Below are 25,520 nucleotides of genomic sequence, written 5' to 3'. Positions count from 1 at the left end.
GGCAGCACATTCTACTAAGTAAACTAAACACAGAAATGGTGGGTGTGATTTAATTAATATTTTAGTTCATAGAGATTGACAAACCTTTTTGGTAAAGTGCTAGATAGTAAATATCATTGGCCTTGTAGGCCATATTGTCTCAGTCTACTCAACTCTGTTGTTGTGATACCAACAAATGAGTGTGACCATGTTTCAACAAAATTTTATTTACAAAACAGGCAGCATCCCTGAGTTGGCCAATGGCTATAGTTCGTTGACTCTTACTCTAGTGTAGAGTTAAAAATAAACAACATGCCGGGCGCAGTGGCTCATGCCTGTCATCCTAGCACTTTGGGAGGCAGAGACGGGTGGATCACGAGGTCAGGAGTTCAAGACCAGCCTGGTCAAGATGGTGAAACCCCGTCTCTACTAAAAATACAAAAAATTAGCCGGCCGTGGTGGCAGGTGCCTGTAATCCCAGCTACTCGGGAGGCTGAGGCAGAGAATTGCTTGAACCCAGGAGGCAGAGGTTACAGTGAGCCGAGATCATGCCACTGCACTCCAGCCTGGGCAACAGAGCGACTCTGTCTCAAAAAAAAAAAAAATACTATTTACCATCTTTGGTTTTAAATTCTTATCCCTAAAATGCTTTAAGAAATGACAAGATGGGGCCAGGCACAGTGGCTCATGCCTGTAATCCCAACACTTTGGGAGGCTGAGGCAGGCAGATCACCCGAGGTTGGAAGTTTGAGACCAGCCTGACCAACATGGAGAAACCCCATCTCTACTAAAAATACAAAATTAGCCGGGTGTGGTGGCGCATGCCTGTAATCCCAGCTACTCGGGAGGTTGAGGCAGGAGAATTGCTTGAACCTGGGAGGTTCAAGAGGTGGAGGCGGAGGTTGCGGTGAGCCGAGATTGCGCCGAGCCGAGATTGTGCCATTGCACTCCAGCCTGGGCAACAAGAGCGAAACTCCGTCTCAAAAAACAAAAAAGACAAGATGGGTTTGCTGTAAAATAATAATAAGTAATTTTGTAGTGGGTGTTTTTGATAGAAAAACAATGTTTTTAAGAAGGATTAGAAATATTTGAGGATTATTTTCTATTATGTATGAGATTTTATAAAATTTTCTTTGAGTACTAAAATGAGAACATGTTGTAAAGTCACCATGCAAATTTTTCTTTCAGCACATGATTTTGATAAAAGATCAGCTATCAAAACAACAAAATGAAGGAGATAGCATCATCAGTAAACTGAAACAAGATCTAAATGATGAAAAAAAGAGAGTTCATCAACTTGAAGATGATAAAATGGACATTACTAAAGAGTTAGATGTACAGAAAGAAAAGCTAATTCAAAGTGAAGTGGCCCTAAATGATTTACATTTAACCAAGCAGAAACTTGAGGACAAAGTAGAAAATTTAGTAGATCAGCTAAATAAATCACAAGAAAGTAATGTAAGCATCCAGAAGGAGAATTTAGAACTTAAGGAGCATATTAGACAAAATGAGGAGGAGCTTTCTAGAATAAGGAATGAGTTAATGCAGTCTCTAAATCAAGACTCTAATAGTAATTTTAAGGATACCTTACTTAAAGAAAGAGAAGCTGAAGTTAGAAACTTAAAGCAAAATCTTTCAGAATTAGAACAGCTCAATGAAAATTTAAAGAAAGTTGCTTTTGATGTCAAAATGGAAAATGAAAAGTTAGTTTTAGCATGTGAAGATGTGAGGCATCAGTTAGAAGAATGTCTTGCTGGTAACAATCAGCTTTCTCTGGAAAAAAACACTATTGTGGAGACTCTAAAAATGGAAAAAGGAGAGATAGAGGCAGAATTGTGTTGGGCTAAAAAGAGGCTGTTGGAAGAAGCAAACAAGTATGAGAAAACCATTGAAGAACTGTCAAATGCACGTAATTTGAATACCTCTGCCTTACAGCTGGAACATGAGCATTTAATTAAACTCAATCAAAAGAAAGACATGGAAATAGCAGAACTCAAAAAGAATATTGAACAAATGGATACTGACCATAAAGAAACTAAGGACGTTTTGTCATCTAGTTTAGAAGAGCAGAAGCAGTTGACACAACTTATAAACAAGAAAGAAATTTTTATTGAAAAGCTTAAAGAAAGAAGTTCAAAGCTGCAGGAGGAATTGGATAAATATTCTCAGGCCTTAAGAAAAAATGAAATTTTAAGACAGACCATAGAGGAAAAAGACCGAAGTCTTGGATCCATGAAAGAGGAAAATAATCATCTGCAAGAAGAATTGGAACGACTCAGGGAAGAGCAGAGTCGAACCGCACCTGTGGCTGACCCTAAAACCCTTGATAGTGTTACTGAACTAGCATCTGAGGTATCTCAACTGAACACGATCAAGGAACATCTTGAAGAGGAAATTAAACATCATCAAAAGATAATTGAAGATCAAAACCAGAGTAAGATGCAACTACTTCAGTCTTTACAAGAGCAAAAGAAGGAAATGGATGAGTTTAGATACCAGCATGAGCAAATGAACGCCACACACACCCAGCTCTTTTTAGAGAAGGATGAGGAAATTAAGAGTTTGCAAAAAACAATTGAACAAATCAAAACCCAGTTGCATGAAGAAAGACAGGACATTCAAACAGATAACTCTGATATTTTTCAAGAAACAAAAGTTCAGAGCCTTAATATAGAAAATGGAAGTGAAAAGCATGATTTATCTAAAGCTGAAACGGAAAGATTAGTGAAAGGAATAAAAGAGCGAGAACTGGAGATTAAACTTCTAAATGAAAAGAATATATCTTTAACTAAACAGATTGATCAGTTGTCCAAAGATGAAGTTGGTAAACTAACTCAGATTATTCAGCAGAAAGATTTGGAGATACAAGCTCTTCATGCTAGAATTTCTTCAACTTCCCATACTCAAGATGTTGTTTACCTTCAACAGCAACTGCAGGCTTATGCTATGGAAAGAGAAAAGGTATTTGCTGTTTTGAATGAGAAGACTAGGGAAAATAGCCATCTAAAAACAGAATATCACAAAATGATGGATATTGTTGCTGCCAAGGAAGCAGCTCTTATCAAACTGCAAGATGAAAATAAAAAATTGTCCACTAGATTTGAAAGTAGTGGCCAAGATATGTTTAGAGAAACTATTCAGAATTTATCACGTATCATTCGAGAAAAAGACATCGAAATAGATGCACTAAGTCAGAAATGTCAGACTTTATTGGCAGTTTTACAAACATCCAGCACTGGTAATGAGGCTGGAGGTGTTAATAGTAATCAATTTGAGGAGCTTCTACAGGAACGTGACAAGTTAAAACAGCAAGTAAAGAAAATGGAAGAGTGGAAGCAGCAGGTGATGACCACAGTACAAAATATGCAACACGAGTCAGCCCAGCTTCAGGAAGAGCTTCACCAACTTCAAGCACAGGTTTTGGTTGACAGTGATAATAATTCTAAATTACAAGTGGACTATACTGGCCTGATCCAAAGTTATGAGCAGAATGAAACCAAACTCAAAAATTTTGGGCAGGAATTAGCACAAGTTCAGCACAGCATTGGGCAGCTTTGCAATACCAAGGATCTTCTTTTAGGAAAACTTGATATTATTTCACCCCAGCTGTCTTCTGCATCATTGCTTACTCCCCAGTCTGCAGAGTGTCTTAGAGCAAGTAAGTCTGAAGTATTGAGTGAATCTTCTGAATTGCTTCAGCAAGAGTTAGAAGAGCTAAGAAAATCACTACAGGAAAAAGATGCAACAATTAGAACTCTCCAGGAAAATAACCACAGATTGTCTGATTCGATTGCTGCCACCTCAGAGCTAGAAAGAAAAGAACACGAACAAACCGATTCAGAAATCAAGCAGCTAAAGGAGAAACAAGATGTTTTGCAAAAGTTACTTAAGGAAAAAGACCTCTTAATCAAAGCCAAAAGTGATCAACTACTTTCTTCCAATGAAAATTTCACTAACAAAGTAAATGAAAACGAACTTTTGAGGCAGGCAGTAACAAACCTGAAGGAGAGAATATTAATTCTAGAGATGGACATTGGCAAACTAAAAGGAGAAAATGAAAAAATAGTGGAAACATACAGGGGAAAGGAAACAGAATATCAAGCGTTACAAGAGACTAACATGAAGTTTTCTATGATGCTGCGAGAAAAAGAGTTTGAGTGCCACTCAATGAAGGAGAAGGCTCTTGCTTTTGAACAGCTATTGAAAGAGAAAGAACAGGTGTGTTCTGGATGGAGTATTGTAGAAGGAAGTTGGGGGTGGAGGAGACTTTTTTTAATGTTATTTCATTTATATTGTCTTTGAAGGGGACTGTGCATTTGTTCATTTAGAAATATTTATTTCAAGGTGTGATTCATTCTAAGTAAATTTTCCTCAGAGACATCTGGAAGTTCTCCCTCAAATTGTTAGATATTTCCAAATGCTTTTGGTAGTAAATTAATTTTTTACAGATTGCTAAGTAGTACTTAATATTTTTCTTTAGGAAACAGATGTGTCTCATGAGAGAATTTTGAAGTTACTTCAATTTAATCAAATTTTAGGTATTACAGTAGCTGTTAACATTTTAGAGATTCTTATATATAAGGAAAGCACTGTAAAATACACATATGTCTTTAACCATCTGCAGTAAGAAATACATTTCACGTTGTGACACAGTAAGAGTATGTATGTGTGTGTGCGTGTGTGTCTAACTGAAAAGTTTGAGGAACCAGAAATTGCTCTTATTACGTGTGATACTCTGTTTGAAAAAGAATGTGCTGGCTGGGCGCGGTGGCTCATGCCTGTAATCTCAGCAGTTTGGGAGGCCAAGGTGGGTGGATCACCTGAGGTCAGGAGTTTGAGACCAGCCTGACCAACATAGTGAAACCCCGACTCTACTAAAAAAAATACAAAAAATTAGCCAGGCATGGTGGTGGGTGCCTGTAATCCTAGCTACTTGGGAGGCTGAGGCAGGAGAATCATTTGAACCCAGGAGGCAGAGGTTGCAGTGAGCCGAGATCATGCCATTACACTCCTGCCTGGGTGACAGAACAAGACTCTGTCTCAATAAAAAAGAAAAAGAAAAAAAAAAAAAGAATGTGTTATTCAGGTAGAGTGACTTGGGTTAGAAATTTTTTTAAAATAATAAGAAAATGTGCTGAGTGACTCATTAAATTGATTTTTATGTATTGATTAGTCACAACCTGGAATTTGAAAAGTATTAGCCATGAGTAATACTTTTCTCATAGTAGGCTCAGTAAATATTCTAATCCCAGTTCTGTCACTGATGTGATTTTGGGTATGTTTTGACCTTATTGGTTTATTCAGCTATAAAACAGGAGTTCATAGCAGTTATATGGATAGTGCCAGTAGCTTTTGATAATATTTAAATTTTTATATGCAATTCATTTTAGTAAGAATTATTGAGGATTTCCTGTTACACTGTATACTATACTGTACTATATGATAGTATAGTGTAGGGCTTGTTTGGCAGTGTATAGGGTGCTGTGTAGGGTTTGTTTAGTAGTGCCTTTTTACTGTGATTTCTATGCTTTTAGTAGCAGAAATTTTGAAAAGAGATGATAGGCAAAACAATAAAATATTCAACTAGCACTTCTTGAGCATTACTTGCTGCCAGGCATAAGATACAAAGTGATTCAACTTCATTTGCCAGTTAGGTTCCCTCTTAGAGTCTTGGATTAAAGTTGTGAAAACTTCATTTTTTCCTTTGTCATCTGATGAAGTAGGCACACTGATTATCAGTGTTAAGGTGTTCTTCTGAGATAACTTCTTAGCTTTAATGGTACTGGTCTATAATTGATGTGAAGAGAGTCCTAGAGGCTAGAGCTTCCTATTGTTCACTAGCCCAAATTGGCTCTAGCTTCTTAAGGTTATAAGAGTAGAACAGAGGAATAAAGTACAATGATGTCTTCTGTCATTTATAGATATTTTGGAGTTTTAGCGTTTTGTACAATTTAGTTCTATTTCATTGACCTTTGCAGATCTAAAGTGTGCAGATATTATTAACACTCTCCTCACTTTTAGGAAGCTTCCCTAAGTTAGCTAAGTGGTACTTAACTATTGTATTACTTGAGGGTAATTAGTGTAAACTAATTTCTTCCAATACTCTGTATATAATATAAAAGTACCTTTAGATTATATCTTGAATATAATGAGTAACATCTTTTTTTAGGGAGAAAAGGATGTTCTCAATAGGAGATATTCAGATCTATTTAATTTCTCAAGCATTTGCTCTTTCTTTGTAGTGTGAAAAAAAAAAAAAACTGAAAAACTATTTGGAAAATATTGGCCTCCCTATCCAGAAGTGTTAATATTAAAGGAACAGATTGTTTTATATTTTGGTTATAATGATTTATCCTGGGGGATACATTACATATTCTTAAAGAAGTGGAAAGTTTACATGAAAACTAAAAATATACTAAACTGTAAATAGGTTCATAAGATATGCATATTTAAAATGGAGAAAAGAAACGGCTGTAGACCGGGCATGGTGGCTCACACATGTAATCCCAGCACTTTGGGAGGCTGAGGTGGGTGGATCCCCTGAGGACAGGAGTTCGAGATCAGCCTGGCCAACATGGTGTAACCCTGTCTTTACTAAAAATACAAAAATTAGCCAGACGTGGTGGTGCATGCCTGTAATCCCAGCTACTTGGGAGGCTGAGGCACGAGAACTGCTTGAACCCAGGAGGCGGAGGTTGCAGTGAACCGAGATCGCGCCACTGCACTCCAGCCTGGGCAACAGAGCAAGACTCCGTCTCAAAAAAAAAAAAAAGAAAAAAAAAGAAAGTGGCTGTAAAGCAGCCTGACACGTTTTTGTGCTTTTTAGAATTTCAGCTATTGTCTGAAACTTGTGGCCCTACTTTTGCAGTGAAGTTACTTTCTCTCATAACAATTGTGGATACTTTATGAATGGACAGCACGCACATACGTGTGCACACACGTACACTTTTTGTTGATTTGGGGGTTCTGAATACTTTGTTGTATAGGGTAAATTTGAAGACATTTTTGTCCTTTGGGTTCCTTTTAAAACATTTCTAATAAACTTATTCTTTTAGAATAGTTTTAAATTTATAGAAAATTTGCAAAGATAGGTCTCATAGACCTCATACTGAGTTTTCCTTGTTAACATCTTACATTGTTATGAGGTATTTGCCACAGCTAATGAACCAATATTGAGGTGTTACTGAACTAAAGTTCATACTTGACTCGAATTCCTTAATGTTTACTAAATGTCCTTTTCCTGTACCGGCAGGATACCGCTTTATATTCATTATATTTAGATGTCATGGCTCCATAGGCTTCTCTAGATTGTGACAGATTCTCTGACTTTTTTGGTTTTTCATGACTTTGACATAGTTAACTACGTTTTTAAATTAACTAGGAGTCTCTCTGAGCCTACTCAGAGAGTAAATCGGGAGGCTGCCCTATTTAAAAATTAAATGAATTAATAATTGAGTGAAGAAAATGTCTCTTTTAAAATATGTGTGTGTGTGTGTTTTTTAAAGCTAAAATTTTTTCTTTCCAAAAGGGCAAGACTGGAGAGTTAAATCAGCTTTTAAATGCAGTTAAATCAATGCAGGAGAAGACAGTTGTGTTTCAACAGGAGAGAGACCAAGTCATGTTGGCCCTGAAACAAAAACAAATGGAAAATACTGCCCTACAGAATGAGGTATACTTTCACTTTAAAAGAATTATGAATCAAACAATAAGTTTAATAACTATTAAGAGAACTGGAAAGGTGATCAGTGAAAATGAATTTCTCTGTTAGGTGATTTTTCTTATTCTTCCTCTGCTGTGCAGTAGTAAAATTTTAATCTCCCATGGTGCATTTTATTTCAGTCTTCAAAAGTGAAAATCATGGCATATCTCGGATATAAGAAAAATTGCCCACCCATAAAGTGTGAAAAAAATGAGATTTGCTGAAAAAGTGGCCTGTCACAAAGAGTACTTTATACAGAATGAATTTTATAATTCCATTTTCCATTATAGCCACAGGGGAATAAGATTCTGGGAAGTAAAGCTTCCAGATGCATATTCAAGATGATTTCAAGATAATTTTTTCCTAGCATAAATACATTTTGCAGTATGAGAAATTGGTATACAATTAATATCTTCAATAATGGGAAAAAGATTTGATAACAAAATGGTTTGTAGCAGTGGAAAGGGAGCATTTTGTAAAAGAAAAATAATGTCCTCTACCTAGGTTCAACGTTTACGTGACAAAGAATTTCGTTCAAACCAAGAGCTAGAGAGATTGCGTAATCATCTTTTAGAATCAGAAGATTCTTATACCCGTGAAGCTTTGGCTGCAGAAGATAGAGAGGCTAAACTAAGAAAGAAAGTCACAGTATTGGAGGAAAAGCTAGTTTCATCCTCTAATGCAATGGAAAATGCAAGGTAATTTTTTCATTTTTTTGCATTAACTTTAACTGAACACTTCTTAAATATCAGACTCAGTAAGTATTTTTTGTATGTTAGCTCATCCTTGCAAAATTCATTATCTGTATTTTATGGATGAAGAAACTGAAGGTAAAGAGATTAAATAACCTGCCCAAGGTAGGCACTCAGAGTGTGTGTGGGGGTTTCACATTTGAGTCTGTGACTCTTTAGATCTGGCATTCAAACTGTCTGTGTTTTGACCATCACCCTAGATCACTGCCTCTTACCATTTTAGGAGTATAGTTTGAAATTCTGACTGATTTTAATTGGCTCTGTTCAACTCCAAAATAACTATTTATGTGGTTGTATTTTTCATCAAATGATCTTAAGTTGAACAGGATGTGGATGTTAGCAGGAAGAGAGTAAAGGAAGTAGCAGAGTAGAGACCAAGGTCAGTATGAAGAATTAACTGGGTTTATTAGCACTCTTGAGTGACCCGGTCCCTGTTTATATATTTTAGATTTTTATTTCTCTCAAGAAAACTTTTTTCTTGTTTTTTTTTTTTTAGTTGTAAAAAGGTTATATTTTTCATGTTTAGGAAAATCACACAAATCACACAGAGCCCCACATGCCCAGAGATAATCTTTTTGTGTGCCTTTTTATACTTTTATGTCTGTGTGTATACATTATATACCCTTTTTAAAGCAAAACTGAGATTATAATATTCATACTGTTTTGTAATCTGTTTCTATCAATAATATGAATGTCAGTACATGTTAAGCCATGTATGTTTGCAATATTTTGTGGCTACATAATATGCCATTATTTGGATTTGCCATGATTAACGCAGTCATTTATTATGTGTTTTAACTTTTCAAAATCACTGAGTGTTGACATGATATCCCAAGACATGTATTTTTGTGTTGATGACAGATTATATCCTTAGGGTAAGTTTTGAGAAACGGAACTTCTAGATCAAGAAGCATTTTAAAACTTCTGAGATTATACTGCCAAATTATTTCACAAAAAATTGTGTCCATTTGTATTCCTATTAGTTGTATATGCATCTTTGTATTTATCTTTTTACTATTTATGACACAAAGGGAGATAAAATGAGATAATCATTTCTATCTGTCTGCAAATAAATTATAGGCTAGTAGAGACAATATTCCTGCGAATTAACCCCTACCCCACCTTTGCAGAGTATATTATTATACCTTCAGACTCAGCTGGAAAACTTGTTTAAAACGGGGATTAAAACAATGAGTGATCATTTGGCTATATGTTTCAGTTTGGCAGAAATGCTGTAACATTCTGTATTCTCACTCTTTTTTTGCACTTTTCAAGCCCTTATTTTCTCTTAATTAAAATAGTTTCTAGTCTCTGCACTTTTCATTTATTTTTCATAATAACTTTGAGAATAACCTTCCTTACATAGAGGTGTGATCTTTTTACTCCTTTTTTCAAAAACTGGTCTTGACTCAAGGATGGTCCCAGGCTCCTACCACCTTAGCCTTATTTCATGTTATCAGCTACATCCAGCCAAACTGTATTACTCACTTTCTCAGAGCCACTGTTTTCCTGTTTCTTTTTCTTCTGCTTTTTCTTTTCATATGCCTTCTTCTGCCTGAAGGGTGAACCTGATCCCCTGCAAGTTGTTCTATGAATCTTGCCTATTCTTCAATTCCATTTTCTTCCTAAAGGGTGCTTTATTTAGCACCCCACTTGTCATATCCAAAAACAAATCTTCCTGGTGTGATGTTTTTCCTTTGAACTTGCATAATATTTAGTTTGAGTCTTATAGTTTGAGGGCACTTATATTTTAATTTAGGGTACAGGTAATTGTCGACGTGTCCTATACTGCCTCCCACCCAATGAAATGTAAAGTCACTGGGAGGTAGGAATGGGCTCATTCATTTTCTACCTATCACATAGCATATATTACACAGAGTTTAATAGCTATTCAGTAAATACTTGTTGTATGAGTAACTCAGATCTACAAACCGGATTATGGTGGTGTGAGCCCTTACTTAACAATAGTAACACCTGGTATTTATTAACTTCTAGAGTGCCATCATAGCTCATTTCATTCCTACAATCACCCACTGAGTGATTGCTAACCAACAAAGTTGAACAAGGTCCAGAGATATTTGGGAGCTGAATTTAGATCTTCTGATTACCAACTTGTGCTCTTTCCACAAGAGGGTGCTAATGGGTAAAGTCTCTTCAAAATGAGTTGATCCTAATGAGCTTTAATGGGCTGCTCTTGAATAAGAATTTAACCGGAAATTAAAACCCCTGGGAGACTATTGCAGTATTTTGAATGTAATCATTATACATTAAGGAAGTACACCAGTGACATAAGCCTAGATAGGTGCTTTATCTATATCTACCTCTTAGGACTCTCTGGAGTCAGAGATAGAGGTTATTGTGTTTAATATAGGCAGAAAGATGATAGTAAAAGATAACTAATATTCAGAGCAGTTCATCAGTGGGATAGCCTTTGGAAAGTTGTGAATTCACCATGAATACAAGGGGGTCAAAGGCAAGGGAGTGTCATAGAATCCATTTTGTATTAAATTGGGAGCTGGACAAAATGACTTCCAGGGTTCCTTACAAAACATTTTATGATAAATTACATCTTAGAGTTTTAGCCTGGAAGCACAAAAATTGCAGGCTATTCATTTGTACCTTTTTCTTTTATTTGTAGTTTTTAGAGACAGGATCTCACTCTGTCGCCCAGGCTAGAGTACAGTGGTGTGATCATAGTTCAGTGCAGCCTCAAGCTCCTGGGCTCAAACAGTCCTTTTGCCTTGGCCTCTCAAAGGGCTGGGATTACATGTGAGAGCCGCCTCACCTGGACTACATTTTTATTTTGCTGACTTTTCTTATTTAACTTAATTCTTAGTCTTTAAAAGGACTGCCATTTGTTCAAAGTCACTTTCACAGGAAGAGTGATTGAATTTACAAAAACAGGGCAACAGGTACCAGAAGAACTCTTCAAGTTTCTTTGAAATTTAACTTGAATTTAATGCAATAAAGTGTAGGAAAGATCACATTAACAGAGATAGATAGTAGGATGGTAGTTTTCAAGGGAAAGGGGAATTACTATTTAATGGGTATGGAGTTTCAGTTTGAGAAGGTGAGAAAAGTTCTGGAGATGGATGGTGGTGGTGGTTGTACAACAGTGTGAATGTACTTAGTGCCACTGAACTGTACACTTAAAACTGGTTAAAATGGTAAATTTTATGTATATTTTACCATAATAAAAAATGTAGGATGTTTCATCTTATTAAAGTATCTAAATACTTTGAAATCTAACTTGAATTTAAAGCAATAAGAGGCCAGGGGCGGTGGCTCATGCCTGTAATCCCAGCACTTTGGGAGGCCAAGGTGGGTGGATTACCTGAGGTCAGGAGTTTGAGACCAGCCTGGCCAACATGGTAAAACACCATCTTTACTAAAAATACAAAAATTAGCCAGGCATGGTTGTGCACGCCTATAACCCCAGCTACTCAGGAGGCTGAGGCAGGAGAATCGCTGGAACCTAGGAGGTGGAGGTTGCAGTGAGCTGAGATTGTGCCACTGCACTCCAGCCTGGGTGACAGAGCGAGACTCTGTCTCAAAAAAAAAAAAAAGAAATAAAATAAAATAAAGTAATAAGATGTAGGGAAGGTGGCTTCTTCTTGTTAAAGTATCTAAATAGATGAAGCAGTTTGACTTTTATTCTTTTTGTTTGAAGCCATCAAGCCAGTGTGCAGGTAGAGTCATTGCAAGAACAGTTGAATGTAGTTTCCAAGCAAAGGGATGAAACTGCGCTGCAGCTTTCTGTCTCTCAGGAACAAGTAAAGCAGTATGCTCTGTCACTGGCCAACCTGCAGATGGTACTAGAGCATTTCCAACAAGGTAAGCTCTACGGTCACTCTTTCAATGAAGAAAAATTGTAGTTATTGGTAATTTTGCCTAATTTGAGAGCTATTTTAGATGAGGCACGGGGAAATCTCTGAAAGGTTACCCACTGGTAGAGGGGAAGGGTGAGTAGCCATCAAAAAGTTAATTTAGACTCCTTTTACAATTAAGACGAGAAAATAAACTTTATTTAGTAATTATTAAAAATTTGTTTTAGTATCCTATTACCAGTGAGAGATGAGAGTTGAGGAAATACAAGGAAAGATGATCAAGTAATAAAGAGGAGAATACAAGGAAAGATGATCAAGTAATGAAGAGGAGAATACAAAGAAAGAGAGATACGCACATACAAAGAATAGTTAGGTTTTAAGATAAGGGCTGGAGGTTGAACCTACTTCAGATAATCATCATTAATTATTGTTCTTTGAAATGGTGATTCACATGTTCATAGCTATTCATCTATGCTTTGAGGTAACTACATTTTCTAGTCCATATGGAAGGTGCTTTTTTGGAGACACAATAATAGTAACCAGAGCAGTTCTACCCTGAGAAACAAATATACCTTTTCACATTCTACCTCCTATCCTTACATTTATTCACTTTAGATCATTCATCCATCCATTTGTTTATTCATGCATTCAGTAATTATTGACAGTAAATTAACTGCTAGTTGTCGGAGGTGATTAGGGGATATGAGAATGAGGAAGTAACAAGGACTTGTAGTTTTATGCCTAAGCAAAACTTTAAATTTGTACCTCTGTGTTACTTCAGGGTTGAAATCTTAAATTTTAGATATAAGAATTCTTGCCGGGCACGGTGGCTCATGCCTGTAATCCCAGCACTTTGGGAGGCCAAGGCGGGCAGATCACCTGAGGTCAGGAGTTCAAGACCAGCCTGGCCAATGTGGTGAAACCCCATCTCTACTAAAAATACACAAATTAGCCAGGTGTGGTGGAAGATGCCTGTAATCCCAGCTACTCGGCTTGAACCCTGGAGGAGGAGGTTGCAGTGAGTGAGCCGAGATGACACCACTGCACTCCAGCCTGGGTGACAGAGTGAGACTCTGTCTCAAAAAAAAAAAAAAAAAAAAGTTTTTGAGGTCTACTTTACAGTATAATGTAATTATTAGAGTGGGTATGTATACAAAGCAGTGTGGAACTGAGACTGTAGAGAAAGTGTTGCCAAAGAGGAAATATTTGAGAAGAGTTACGAAGGGAGAGAAGAATCTGCAAGATAGACAAGATGGAGAAGTGTTTAGGCAGAGGAAAGTGATCTCATTAGTTTAGTACCGCTTAACATTATCACTAAGGCATATATTCTTTTCTGTTTGAGACATTTGAACTGTTTTCGTTGGATTATTAAAATTTAAAATGGCTTAACATTCTAACTTAACACACGATTGCAAAATACTAATGTTAACTTTCTTTTCTCTTTAGAGGAAAAAGCTATGTATTCTGCTGAACTCGAAAAGCAAAAACAGCTTATAGCTGAATGGAAGAAAAACGCAGAAAATCTGGAAGGAAAAGTGATATCATTACAGGTAGGACAAAATAGTTTTCTCTTGTAGGTTTTATTATTCATGGAACAGTTACTTGTAGAGTCTTTGTCTTGGAAATAATCTCCTAAACTGTTCATTTAGTAAATTTTCTACCCTGAATCCAGCCCTCTGCTGTAGCCTGACAGTGAACAAGATACCCAGGATTTCCCTAAGGTGTCATAGTTTAGAGTAGACACGGCAAATGTAAGATGACAGGACATTTAAATTTTTTTGGCACATAGAGGTATTTTAGAGGTCTCCGGGGAAAAAACACCCAAATTAATCTATAATTTAACTTTATAATTTTCTCTCTTTTTTTTTTTTTTTTTTTTTTTGAGACCGAGTTTCACTCTTGTTACCCAGGCTGGAGTGCAATGGCGTGATCTCGACCCACCGCAACCTCTGCCTTCCGGGTTCAAGCAATTCTCCTGCCTCAGCCTCCCAAGTAGCTGGGATTACAGGCGTGCACCATCATACCCAGCTAATTTTGTATTTTTAATAGAGATGGGGTTTCACCATGTTGGTCAGGCTGGTCTCGAACTCCTGACCTCAGGTGATCTGCCCACCTCAGCCTCCCAAAGTGCTGGGATTACAGGTGAGAGCCACTGCGCCTGGCGTGTAATTTTCTTTTTTCAACAAAATTTTAAATTTGTACCTCTGTGAGCACTCATTTCACATGGATTAAAACAATATATATTATCCCATTAAATCTTTTTTTTTTTGTATAATAACATCCTTTAAAATATTTTTCTATTCCATCTATATTTCACACATAGGACAAAAATTATATATAAGGAATATATAAAAATGAACCCCTATGAAGAGATAGGACACCAAAACAACGTGCTTTTAGATTTAGGAGAAACTTGTCTTTTTTTTTTTTTTTTTTTTTTTTTTTTTTTTGAGACGGAGTCTCGCTCTGTTGCCCATGCTGGAGTGCAGTAGCGCGATCTCGGCTCACTGCAAACTCCCCCTCCTGGGTTCACGCCTTTCTCCTGCCTCAGCCTTCCAAGTAGCTGGGACTACAGGTGCCCGCCACCACACCCGGCTAATTTTTTGTATTTTTAGTAGAGACGAGGTTTCACCATGTTAGCCAGGATAGTCTCGATCTCCTGACCTCGTGATCCGCCCGCCTTGGCCTCCCAAAGTGCTGGGATTACCCACCATGCCCGGCCTAGGAGAAGCTTTTCTATGTCATAAATAGACTGTCAATAACTGGTAGAAAATGATAAAATTCATTTACCTGACATTAGTGGAGGTAATTATGCTGTTCTTCAGGAACATTAACGTCCCAAGTAAGTGAAGATATACTTCCTAATAAAGTTTTAACATTTTAATTAAGTATTAAATGGCTGCAAAACAATTTAGATAATATGTATAAAATATAAGACTAACAATGCAGCAAATACCCACACTGTCACCACCCAGTGTAAGAAATAAAACTTCATCCTTTGAAGTTCCTTATGCACCCCTTCACATCCCATTCTCATCTTCCACCTCTTAGGCAACCACTATTCCAAAATGTTATGTTTATTACTTCCTTATTTTGTTTGGTTTTCTTTTTTCTTTTTCTGCTTGTTTTCTTTATGGTTCTTATCACATAGGTTTGACGCTCCAAACAATCCATTGTTTGGTTTTGCATATTTTTGAAGTCTATGTAAATGGAATTTGAACTATATGTAAATTCAGTAATTTTTCTGAGACTTGCTTTTTTTTTTTTTTTTTTTTTTTTGAGACGGCGTTTCGCTCTTTGCTCAGGCTGGAGTGCAAGGGCGTGATCTCAGCTCACTACAACCTTTGCCCTGGGTTCAAGTGATTCTCCTGCCTCAGCCTCCCAAGTAGCTGAGATTACAGGCACACACCATCACGCCTGGCTAATTTTTGTATTTTTAGTAGAGACAGGGTTTCACCATGTTGGCCAGGCTGTTGTTGAACTCCTGACTTCAGGTGATCCATCCACATCAGCCTCCCAAAGTGCTGGGATTACAGGCGTGAGCCACCGCACCCGGCTGAGACTTGCTTTTTTAAAAAACTTACCATAGTGTTTATGAGATTCAGTCATATTACTGTGTGTTACTGTATATAGGCGATTTGTTATTTTCACTTCTGTATGCATTGCATTAATATATAATTTACCCATTTTATTAATAAAGGGTATTTCAGATATCTTCTAAACATACAAGAGTTTTTTTAGATGTATATCTTGATTGGAATTGCTGAGTTATAGGACATATATGGTCAACTTCAGCTTTATTAGATGATTAATTGTTTTCTGAAGTGGTTGTGCTAATTTACTCCCACTAGCAGGCACATGACTTCTTGTTCTACATCCTTGTCAACACTTGACATTATCAGACTTTCAAAGTTTTTGACAATCTGATGGGTAGGAAGTGTCTTAGTCCATTTTGTGCTGATACAATAGAATACCACAGACTGGTTTATTTATAATGAACAGAAACTTAGTAGCTCATGGGTTCTGGAAGCTGGGAAATCCAAGATTAAGGTGCCAGCAACTGGTAAACCTCCTTGCTACATCATCCTGTGGCAAAGAGAGGGTAAGGTGAGAGAACAAGAGGGAGCCAAACTCCTCCTCTTGCAAGGAACCTACTTCCTTGATTATGAACCCACTCCCACAATAAGGACATTAATCTATTCATGAGGGTGGTGCCCCCATGAACCAAACACCTCCCATCAGGCCCTACCTCCCAATACTGCCACATTGGGAATCAGGTTTTCAGCAAATGAACTTGTGGGTATACATTCAAGCCATAGCAGAAGGGCTGTCTTCCTGTGGTTTTAATTTGCACTTCCCTAATTACCAGTGAGGTCAAGCATCTTTTAATATGTTTATTGACCATTTATACTTACTTTCTTGTCAGCTCATTAATACATTTAAAAGATGTATTTTATCTAATACTCTTAGTGGTTTCTAGTGGATCCAGAGTATACAGTCTGTGGAACTGCTAGAATGGAAGTCCAGATCTTCTTCTCTTTTTTCTTAGAGACAGAGTCTTGCTTTGTTGTCCAGGCTGGTCTCAAACTCCTGGGCTCAAACAGTCCTCCTGTCTTGACCTCACAAAATGTTGGAATTACAGGCGTGAGCCTCTATGCCTGGCATTTTTTTCTTATTTTAATTAGAGATGAAATCTTGCTATGTTTCCCAGGCTGGAATGCAGTGGCTCTTCACCAGTGTGATCATAATAGTGCACTACAGCCTTGCATTTCTGGACTCAAGCAATCCTCCTGCCTCAGCCTTTTGACTAGCTGGGACTATAGGCATGTGTCACAGCACCCAGCCAAATCTTCTTTTAAAACTAGTTTTATTTTTTAAAATTTAAAGTGTAATATACATTTAAAAGAAGAACAAAATAAATGAGAAGAAATTGAGGGAATTAATAAAAATAAAAGCTGTAATTAATGAAATAAAAACCAAACAACTGGTAGAAAGAATAACAAAATCTAAATGCTGATTTTGGAAAAAATCTAAGCGTAGATTTAAGCTTTAATAACTTCATAAGTACAAATGGTGTGGGTTAAAAAAATCATTTGAAAGTTTACATTTCCTTCACACTAAATTTAGTTTTGTGGATTTTTGAATAGTAAATATTTTATTTAAAATTTTCAATTTCATTCCCTCTATATATCAATCAGGTTTCAGCCCCTAAAAGCAGGATCAGTAGGGTGTGTATGTATATGTGTCAAATTTATATATTGATATATATGGATACACACATGCAATTTATTACAAGGAATTGGCTACAAGATTGCAGCCGCTGGATAAGCAAGTCTGAAATTTGTAGGGTTGGCAGTCAAGATGGGAAGCCCACATCAAAGGCAGGCTGGAACTCAGCAGGCATGGGCCAAAGCTGTTGTCCACAGGCAGCCAGGAAAGGAAAGTCACAAGCAGGATGGAACTCCATAGGCATAGGCGGAACCTGCGGTCCAAAGAAGGAATTTCTTCTTTTTTAGGGGGAAGGCTAAACCCTGGCTTTTAAGAACTTTAAAACTGGTTCAGTCGGGCCCACCCAAATTATCCAGAATAATGTGCCTTTCTTAAATTCAACTGATTAAGGACTTTGATTACATTTGCAGAATACCTTCACAGCAACATCTAGATCATATTTGATTGAATAACTGGGGACTGTGACCTATCCAGGATGACACAGTAAAAAGGCTATCACACTGATTGAAGATGGCAAAACTTGACCTTAAATTTACATGGGAGAATACTTGAGAATAGCCAAGAAAATTATGAGAAATAATGCAGTGAGGAGAGACCTGCCTACTAGATGTCATAATAGAGCCATAAATCGATACAATATTGACTAGATTAGTGGATTAAGGAGAATCCAGAAATAGAGCCCAGGATATATTTGAGAATTTGAAACTAAAACCTAAACTAATTTAATGAGAAAAAGGATAGCTTATCTAATTAATGATGTTGATAAAACCAGCTGTCCATAGGAAGGAAGGAAAAAAAAACAACAGACCCTCACCTTACATCATAAACAAAAGTAAAGTCTAATTGTATTAAAGCAGGGATTTTCAACTGGGAGTGGTGCTGATTATCTGGGGATAGATGGCATTTATTGGGCAAGGAATGCCAAAGCCACTCCCATTAAGAAACACTGTGTTAAAGATTTAACTATATTACAAAATATCTTGTAATAAAATCTGGAAGACTACATTTACATTCTAAGGGCAAGGAGGATCCTAACCAAGACTAAAACTTAAGAAGCTGTAAAAGCAAAGTAGAACATGTTTGACTATATAGTATTTAAAATGTTTACATGACAAAAGATATTATAGAGTCAGTAGAAAAATGGCAGATATGGTAACGGTATTTGCTTAGCACAGGTGAAAAAGCTTCATATCTGCTATACAAGGTGCTCTTACAGATGGACAGGAGAAATAGAACTCAGTAGAATCTTGGGCAATGTATGCAAAGAGGTTTTCACAGAAGGACAGATCCAGCTTGCCCTGTAAACATGAAAAGTAATGCTCAAATTCACTAGTAGTGGTCAGGGAAATAAAATTTAAAGTAACAAAGTCATAATCAACATCACTTTATTAGACTTTCAAAAATGAAAAAGAGAACATTTGTTGCTATATTTCTGGACTTCCTGTATCTTTGTTTTTTTGTAGTTTATGTTGTTACTTTTTTTTTTTTTTTTTTTTACTTCTGTCATCATGTTGTCTTTCAGTGGCATCTGCTCTTTTTATTTAGTTCCTCTAAATGAGGCAGTATTGTATTGAAAAGAATGTGGGTTCTGCCTTTGATACTTATTGGTTGGATACATTTGCCCAAGGTCATAGAGGTGCAGCTTCACCAGCTGAAATGTAGAGGTTGACTCTAAGATGTCTCTCAGCCTTATAGTTTGTGAAATAATTTTTGCATACTTTTTTTTAATAAAGTTTTCTTTCTCAGGAATGTTTGGATGAAGCAAATGCTGCATTGGATTCAGCATCAAGACTTACAGAACAGTTAGATGTAAAAGAAGAACAAATTGAAGAACTTAAAAGACAAAGTAGGTTTTTTTCTTTTCATTTTTCCCCCACTACAATACTGATATTAAATCAAATGTAGTCTTCTGTCATAAATTGGCATAGTTGAGTGAGACCAACTTCATTGATGTGTGACTTCCATTTGTATCTTCCCTGACTGACTTGCTTCAATTTAAGTATGGTCCTAGTGAAACCAGAGTCATTAAGTTGGCCCTGGCTGTCCAGTTAGTTTTCCTGGATGTTGAGGCAATGCCATTGCATTGGCTGTCACCCTGTTGACCATCAGAGGGGTTGATTGGACTGATTTGACTTTTTATGGATATGATTTCTCCCTTATCAGTTCACGTGCATCTTGCCTAAGGCCATCTGATCTGTTAGAGAAGGCAGAATTCTCAAATAAAAGAGCAACTTTCTGTAGAATGAATGTCTGGGTATAGCTAGATTTTTATGATTGTAGATGGTGTTTTACCACAGGTGCATCATGTATTTTTTGATGTTTATAAGGTGCCTCATATGCCCTGTCCATACCCTAAGGTATGTCCTATGCTTAGGATTATTAATTGGTTCAGTGATCAGGTGGCTTACAGGGCTTTGTTGAATCCAACAGCTGACAAAGATGGCATATCCTCATTTCATCTCTGATTTAGAGGCAACCAGGAAGTCAAAACTATTCTAGGGCTGCATTTAGTAGGTAATGATTCAGGGTTATTGGAAAGGTGATAACGGAGCCTAGAAATGCATCAACTTTAGATGTCTAGGTTAGGCACAATAGTAACAAGGCATGTAGTTAAGAAATACATACCACCTAACATGAAATTAGAAATAAGCAAAAATAGAAGGAGATGGTACAGCAGAGGAGCTGTCAACAACAGAAGCAGTGACTTAGACACTAGGGAGGCAAGCCGGCAGGAACCACTGACGCATGGAGACCAAAGGACAAGCCAAAGTAAGCTGGCCTAAATCCAGCAGGAGACAGGACAGGGGAGATTTTTAGGAATACAGAGAAAAAAAGATAGATGTGAAGTAATTGTCCTCAAAATGACTTGATTCTGAGGCAAGTTACTGCCAAACCAAAAGTCTTCTACCTTGTAAGTCTTGACCAGGCTAGGATCTCTAAATCTAGTAGAGGGCCTGAAAATGGGCAGCAAGGAAACAATTATGTATTGAGTGTCTATTATGGACATTTGACATAACATTTATGTATTTAGTCTTCTCATCATTTACTTTTTATAAGCATCTCTAAAATAAGTGGTATTATCCATTTTATAGATTAAAGAGGCAAGATTTGAACTCCGATCTTTTTAACTATTACCATAATTCGTGGTCTTTTCATGTTATTGTAGCCCTATCAGGAAAATGGTTATTTATAGTCTGACTTGTATTTTGTTCTGTATATCTCCAGTTTCCCCTGAAAATATGGTAGCATCTTCTGTATTGTGCCCTAACGTTGAAATGGTTGCCTTTACCAAGAGCAGTATTTATTTAGAAAACAGTCTAGTTAGATCGAAGGCCAGTGCAACTACAACATTATCTGGAAGACATATGGGCAACTGAGAGGAGACACACTGGGAATTGATAATCTTCGGGTTGGGCTAGACTAATGGAGGTGAAACAGCAGTGTTGTGAACCAGCTCATTGCTTTGTGACAACTCAGTGCTATATGTTATGCTACTATAATATCTAAGGCCACATCCTCTTTTAGACACCTACCTAAGTAATTCCCAATAGTTGATGGTAAATTTAAAATTCTAAGATTTATTGTAGTTAATAAATATTATCAGAGTTCTTGAAATACAGGTTGAGCATCCCTAATCCAAAGTCTGAAATGCTCCAAAGTCTAAAACTTTTTGAAAGGTGACATGATGCTCAAATGAAATGCTTATTGGAGCATTTTGGATTTTGGATTTTTGGATTAGGGATGCTCAGCCAGTAGTACTATAATGTAGATATTCCAAAGTCTGAAAAATCCAAAATCTGAAACACTTCTGGTTCCAAGCATTTTGGGTAAGGGATACTCAACCTGTATTTAGTACTTTTTCAGACACTCATTTAAGCCCCCACTAGTAGAATATTTTCAGATGTTCTTGATTATAGATGATAAAGCTTAGGTGGAAAATACTAATATTCATTGTAAACGTATACGAACTTTGGATTCATTTTGTGGAATCAATATTAGCTACAGAGAAAGCTCTGATTATGCTTGTATAACTGGTATTTGAAAGGGCAGGCAAGAGGCCAGTGTTGCACAAACAGGAAGGGGTGTAAAGAGACAGTTGGTTCTGTTATGTCTGTAAGTCATTCTTGCCATTTACAGCTCTTCTTAACAATCTGTTTTCTTATATTACCTAAGTGCTTTAATATCACTTTTATATCTCTAAATACAAATGCAATTTTATTTTCTCAAAGCTGCACTCTTGATTTGATAATGTAAACAAAACTTTGATTAGCTCACTTGTTTCAAAAGAATCGCTGTATATTTTCTCTCCTAGATCATTAAGTACTTTAAATGTTGATTGATGTTGTAATACTGTACTTTATTTTTAACACAAAACTTGGCCAGACAGCAAAAATATTTGCCAGGAGAAACAATTTTGAAAAAGACAGATTGCCTTTTGTTGGAAGAAAGTACATGGAGACTTGAATCGTAAAGGCAAAGTATTGGTTACTTCTAAGCATCTGTAGACTAATGATTAATTGATACACAGTTTCAGCATTTAAACAATATTAGGAAGCTCACTTTTAAAAGTATTTTATTCCAAATGGTTGATTATATCATTGCTACCAGAGATGAGATGATTCAGTCTGGTCAAACATATGAAAAAGAGAGCTGTTGCAAATAATGCCAATATTGAAACAGTAGACTGTTGATAATTTCAGTCATTTCTTAAGAGTATGTATGTGCATCTGTGCTTATGAATTAAGAGTATTTTTGGGCCTTGTGTGAAAAGTATGAAGACAGATGCTTATCAGGCACTAAATATTTAATGAGAACCAACTACTTGGCTTCCCATTAGGTGCTATATGAGATACTAGATAGTATCCCTTTTCCAAGGAGTTTAGCTAAGGAAATGACACATCGTGTAGATACCCCGTAGGTTAGTAATTGAAGACAGTGATGCACAACAGTGATCATAAGACAGGGCATATTTAGTTCCTCCAGAATCCCATTAAGGGTCAGGCAGCATTCCATGGAGAAAAGGAACTTGAGTAGAGACATAAACCAGCAGTAGGGAACTGTTTAAATATTTCTCCCTGTCTCCCTCCCCCTCTATCCCTCTTCCCGGGAAAGTAACGAAGAAAATAAATCCTACGATCCTAAGTACTATAGTTTAATAGACAGTGTTGGCTGTTAAAAGAATTACTGCTATCCTTCCTTTTAAAAAATTATTCTTTCAGCATTTTACCTGAAAGTGTTCTTCAATACAGTTCCAAAGACTTCACATGCCATCCCATATCCAAACTCAGTAGAGTGGCCTATGAAGCACATATGACAGTGGTTTTCATTAACTACTCTGAGCTGATCAGAGTTCAGAATTCCATGGAATTGCTATTGATGAGAAATTATACACCTGTGACTGAACCATTAAAATGCATTATCTTGCTATATTTATGGTCAAATTTGACATTTTCCTTTCCTTCTTGTTCTCTGCCATCATCCTTGACATAAATTCCTGCTAATTGAAAATGATTTGGCCGGACGTGGTGGCTCACACCTGTAATCCCAGCACTTTGAGAGGCCAAGGTGGGTGGATCACCTGAGGTCAGGAGTTTGAGACCAGCCTAGCCAACATGGTGATACCCCATCTCTACTAAAAATATAAAAATTAGCCAGGCATGGTGGCTCATGCCTGTAGTCCCAGCTTCTTGGGAGGCTGAGCCACAAGAATTGCCTGAACCTGGGAGGTGGAGGTTGCGGTGAGTTGAGATCACGCCACTGCACTCCAGCCTGGGCAACAGAGTGAAACTTGGTCCCAAAAAAAAAAAAAAAAGAAAAGAAAAAAAATGATTGGATAAATTGAAATAAAAAGCACAAGATATTGTTATTTTGATAACTATGATTCAGAAAGGTGGTGAATTTTATGGTGTGCAAAGAAAAGTGAGTTTTCATAAGCAATACAAATTTAGTTCTAACATCAGGAAGATCTTTTGGTCTGTCTGCTAGTTTATACCTGTATCTGAAAGGGCAGCATAACTGATTTTTTTTTTAAGAAGGTTGAATGACTACTTTTAAAAGTCTCCTAAGAGTTGAGAATGGAAAATTTCCTTGGACCATTTTTTAAAAGAAAATCTAGAAGAATGTATAAAATGAGTCCCAGTAAAACTTACTGTAATATGAAGCATAAAAACATGTTTTAAAGCTACAGATATAAAAGAAGCTTAAAATATTTTTCGTGGAACTACCTTTACGGTGCTGGATGGTAAAGTTTTTATTTTAAATAAAGACATTCCGTTTTCCAGGACATGATTTATACAAGAAAACATATAATGTCCTGTTGAACACAGGCCAAATACATTCCCAGACGCTTTGTTACCCAAACCTTTTGAGAGATTTCTTTATAGATGTTTTTGGCAGAAGTGGTGATTTTAGAGGAAACATATAAGAAGTACCAGATGCAGTTTTCTGAGTTGCCATAAATGGTTAAAAAATTATTTTGATGATATAAACATCTGGGTATACTAGACAATGCCAAAATATGAGTTAAGAAAAAAGTGTATGTCAATTAGGTAAATAATTAAACCTTTTTCAACTGAACTGTATTTTAGAAATTGCAGTTTAAAAAAATTCCTCTAAGTTTAAAGGGAAAAGTAAATGATATAGCAATAAGAATGTTTTGAGTTAATGTGTTTTGTGTCCTTGCCCTTATTTCTTTATGTATGGATGAGTTCATAATTCAGAACATAAATTGTTCTTTTTGTCCAGTGTTCTGTTCTTTGCAGATATTCTCTTTTCCCAGAGAAAATCAATCATTATTTGACTTACTTCTCAAATATTCATTGTTTATTTGCTGTGTGCTAAGCACTGCAGTAGAACTAAAGATATAAATAAAGACAGGAGACAAGGGTCCTGCCTTCAGGAGGTTTACAGTCAGGCAGGAAGGGAAGATGACATGCATCAAATACATGAAACAAATGGTTTAGAAAGGAAAGAGCTATCCTTTGTACTTGGTGTTGGTAGCATGGAAGGGTAGACAAGGTTAGTGAAGGGCTCACTTGAAATTACTTGAATGGTGAATAGGTATAGCTAAGAAGGCAGAAAGTTGGGGAAAAGTGTTCTAGACAGAGGGAGGAATTCCTGTGAAACTGTGTGTCATAATCTGGAAACTGGCTGAAGATACAGTTGACTAGTAATGACCAAGGGTGGTGGGTATGTGTGCACATGCATGTGTTGGAGTGGAGTGCTGAAAAGGTGGAGGTAGAAGTGGGTTGCCGTGTGGAAATAAGAATCTCTTAGTATGGATCACAAACACAAATTGTAAACTGAGGCTATGATGATAATATAAAAGAGCACATGAAACTAGGTAAAGACTGATCATTTGAAGTGTTTCTTATGGAGGCAGCAGATTCTCAGCTCCGCCCAGCTGCTGCCATGCAGGAATGTGGGCCCAGTGTTGCCATGTCTTCAGATCTTTGAAGAGACCCTGGATATCTGCAATTTTTTCATGAAATATCTCATTAAAAAATTAATTTCAACTTGTGGATTCAAGGGTACCTGTACAGGGTTACTTGTATAGGTTTATTACTGCTTGACACTGAGGTTTGGGGTACAAATGATCTTGTCACTCAGGTAGTGAGCATAGTACCCATTAGGTTGTTTTTCAGCCCTTCTCCCCCTCTCCCTTTTCCCCCTCTGGTATCTCCAGTGTCTGCTGTTCCCATCTTTATGTCCGTATGTACCCAATGTGTGGCTCCCGCCTGAAAGTAAGAAAGTTTGTAACACTTTTAAAATTAAATATATATTCTGTCTCACATGCCAGAGGAGTAACAAGTATATAACCACTCATAATATTTACTCTTTTTAAAAAATTAGTTCTGTTTCAATATGGAGAAATATAGTTCAGATTATCTGAATTCATAATAAAGGGTTAAAGGAAGAGAATGGTGAGGAAAAATAAATTTGATTTGGTTATATTAAAAATATTTATATAAAATCAAGTGTACATAGTAACTCTGGTGAATAATCCAAATTTGGTCTACAAATAATCCAGTAGAC

At 36.7% G+C, this 25,520-nt stretch overlaps 1 protein-coding gene across 5 annotated transcripts in view; it reads left to right on the top strand.

Moving 5' to 3' along the window:
* Positions 1-25,520, top strand: part of TRIP11 (thyroid hormone receptor interactor 11) — a 74,069-nt gene that overhangs the window by 32,444 nt on the left and 16,105 nt on the right. For 4 of the 5 annotated variants that reach the window (XR_943560.3, NM_001321851.1, NM_004239.4 and 1 more), the window contains 6 exons: positions 1,168-4,197; positions 7,508-7,648; positions 8,183-8,376; positions 12,101-12,264; positions 13,704-13,807; positions 19,233-19,332. Coding sequence is in view for 3 of the 5 variants with exons in the window: in NM_001321851.1 (NP_001308780.1) it covers positions 1,168-4,197; positions 7,508-7,648; positions 8,183-8,376; positions 12,101-12,264; positions 13,704-13,807; positions 19,233-19,332 (3,733 nt within the window). In the remaining 2 variants the exon portion in view is untranslated. Of the gene's footprint in view, positions 1-1,167; positions 4,198-7,507; positions 7,649-8,182; positions 8,377-12,100; positions 12,265-13,703; positions 13,808-19,232; positions 19,333-25,520 lie in introns of those variants that run through there. The other variant, XR_001750598.3, reaches the window with a different exon arrangement.

This window comes from Homo sapiens, chromosome 14, assembly GCF_000001405.40.
Source record: "Homo sapiens chromosome 14, GRCh38.p14 Primary Assembly".
Taxonomy (NCBI): domain Eukaryota; kingdom Metazoa; phylum Chordata; class Mammalia; order Primates; family Hominidae; genus Homo; species Homo sapiens.
The sequence above is the reverse complement of the archived record's forward strand: the minus strand, read 5'-3'. Positions and strand labels throughout refer to the sequence as shown.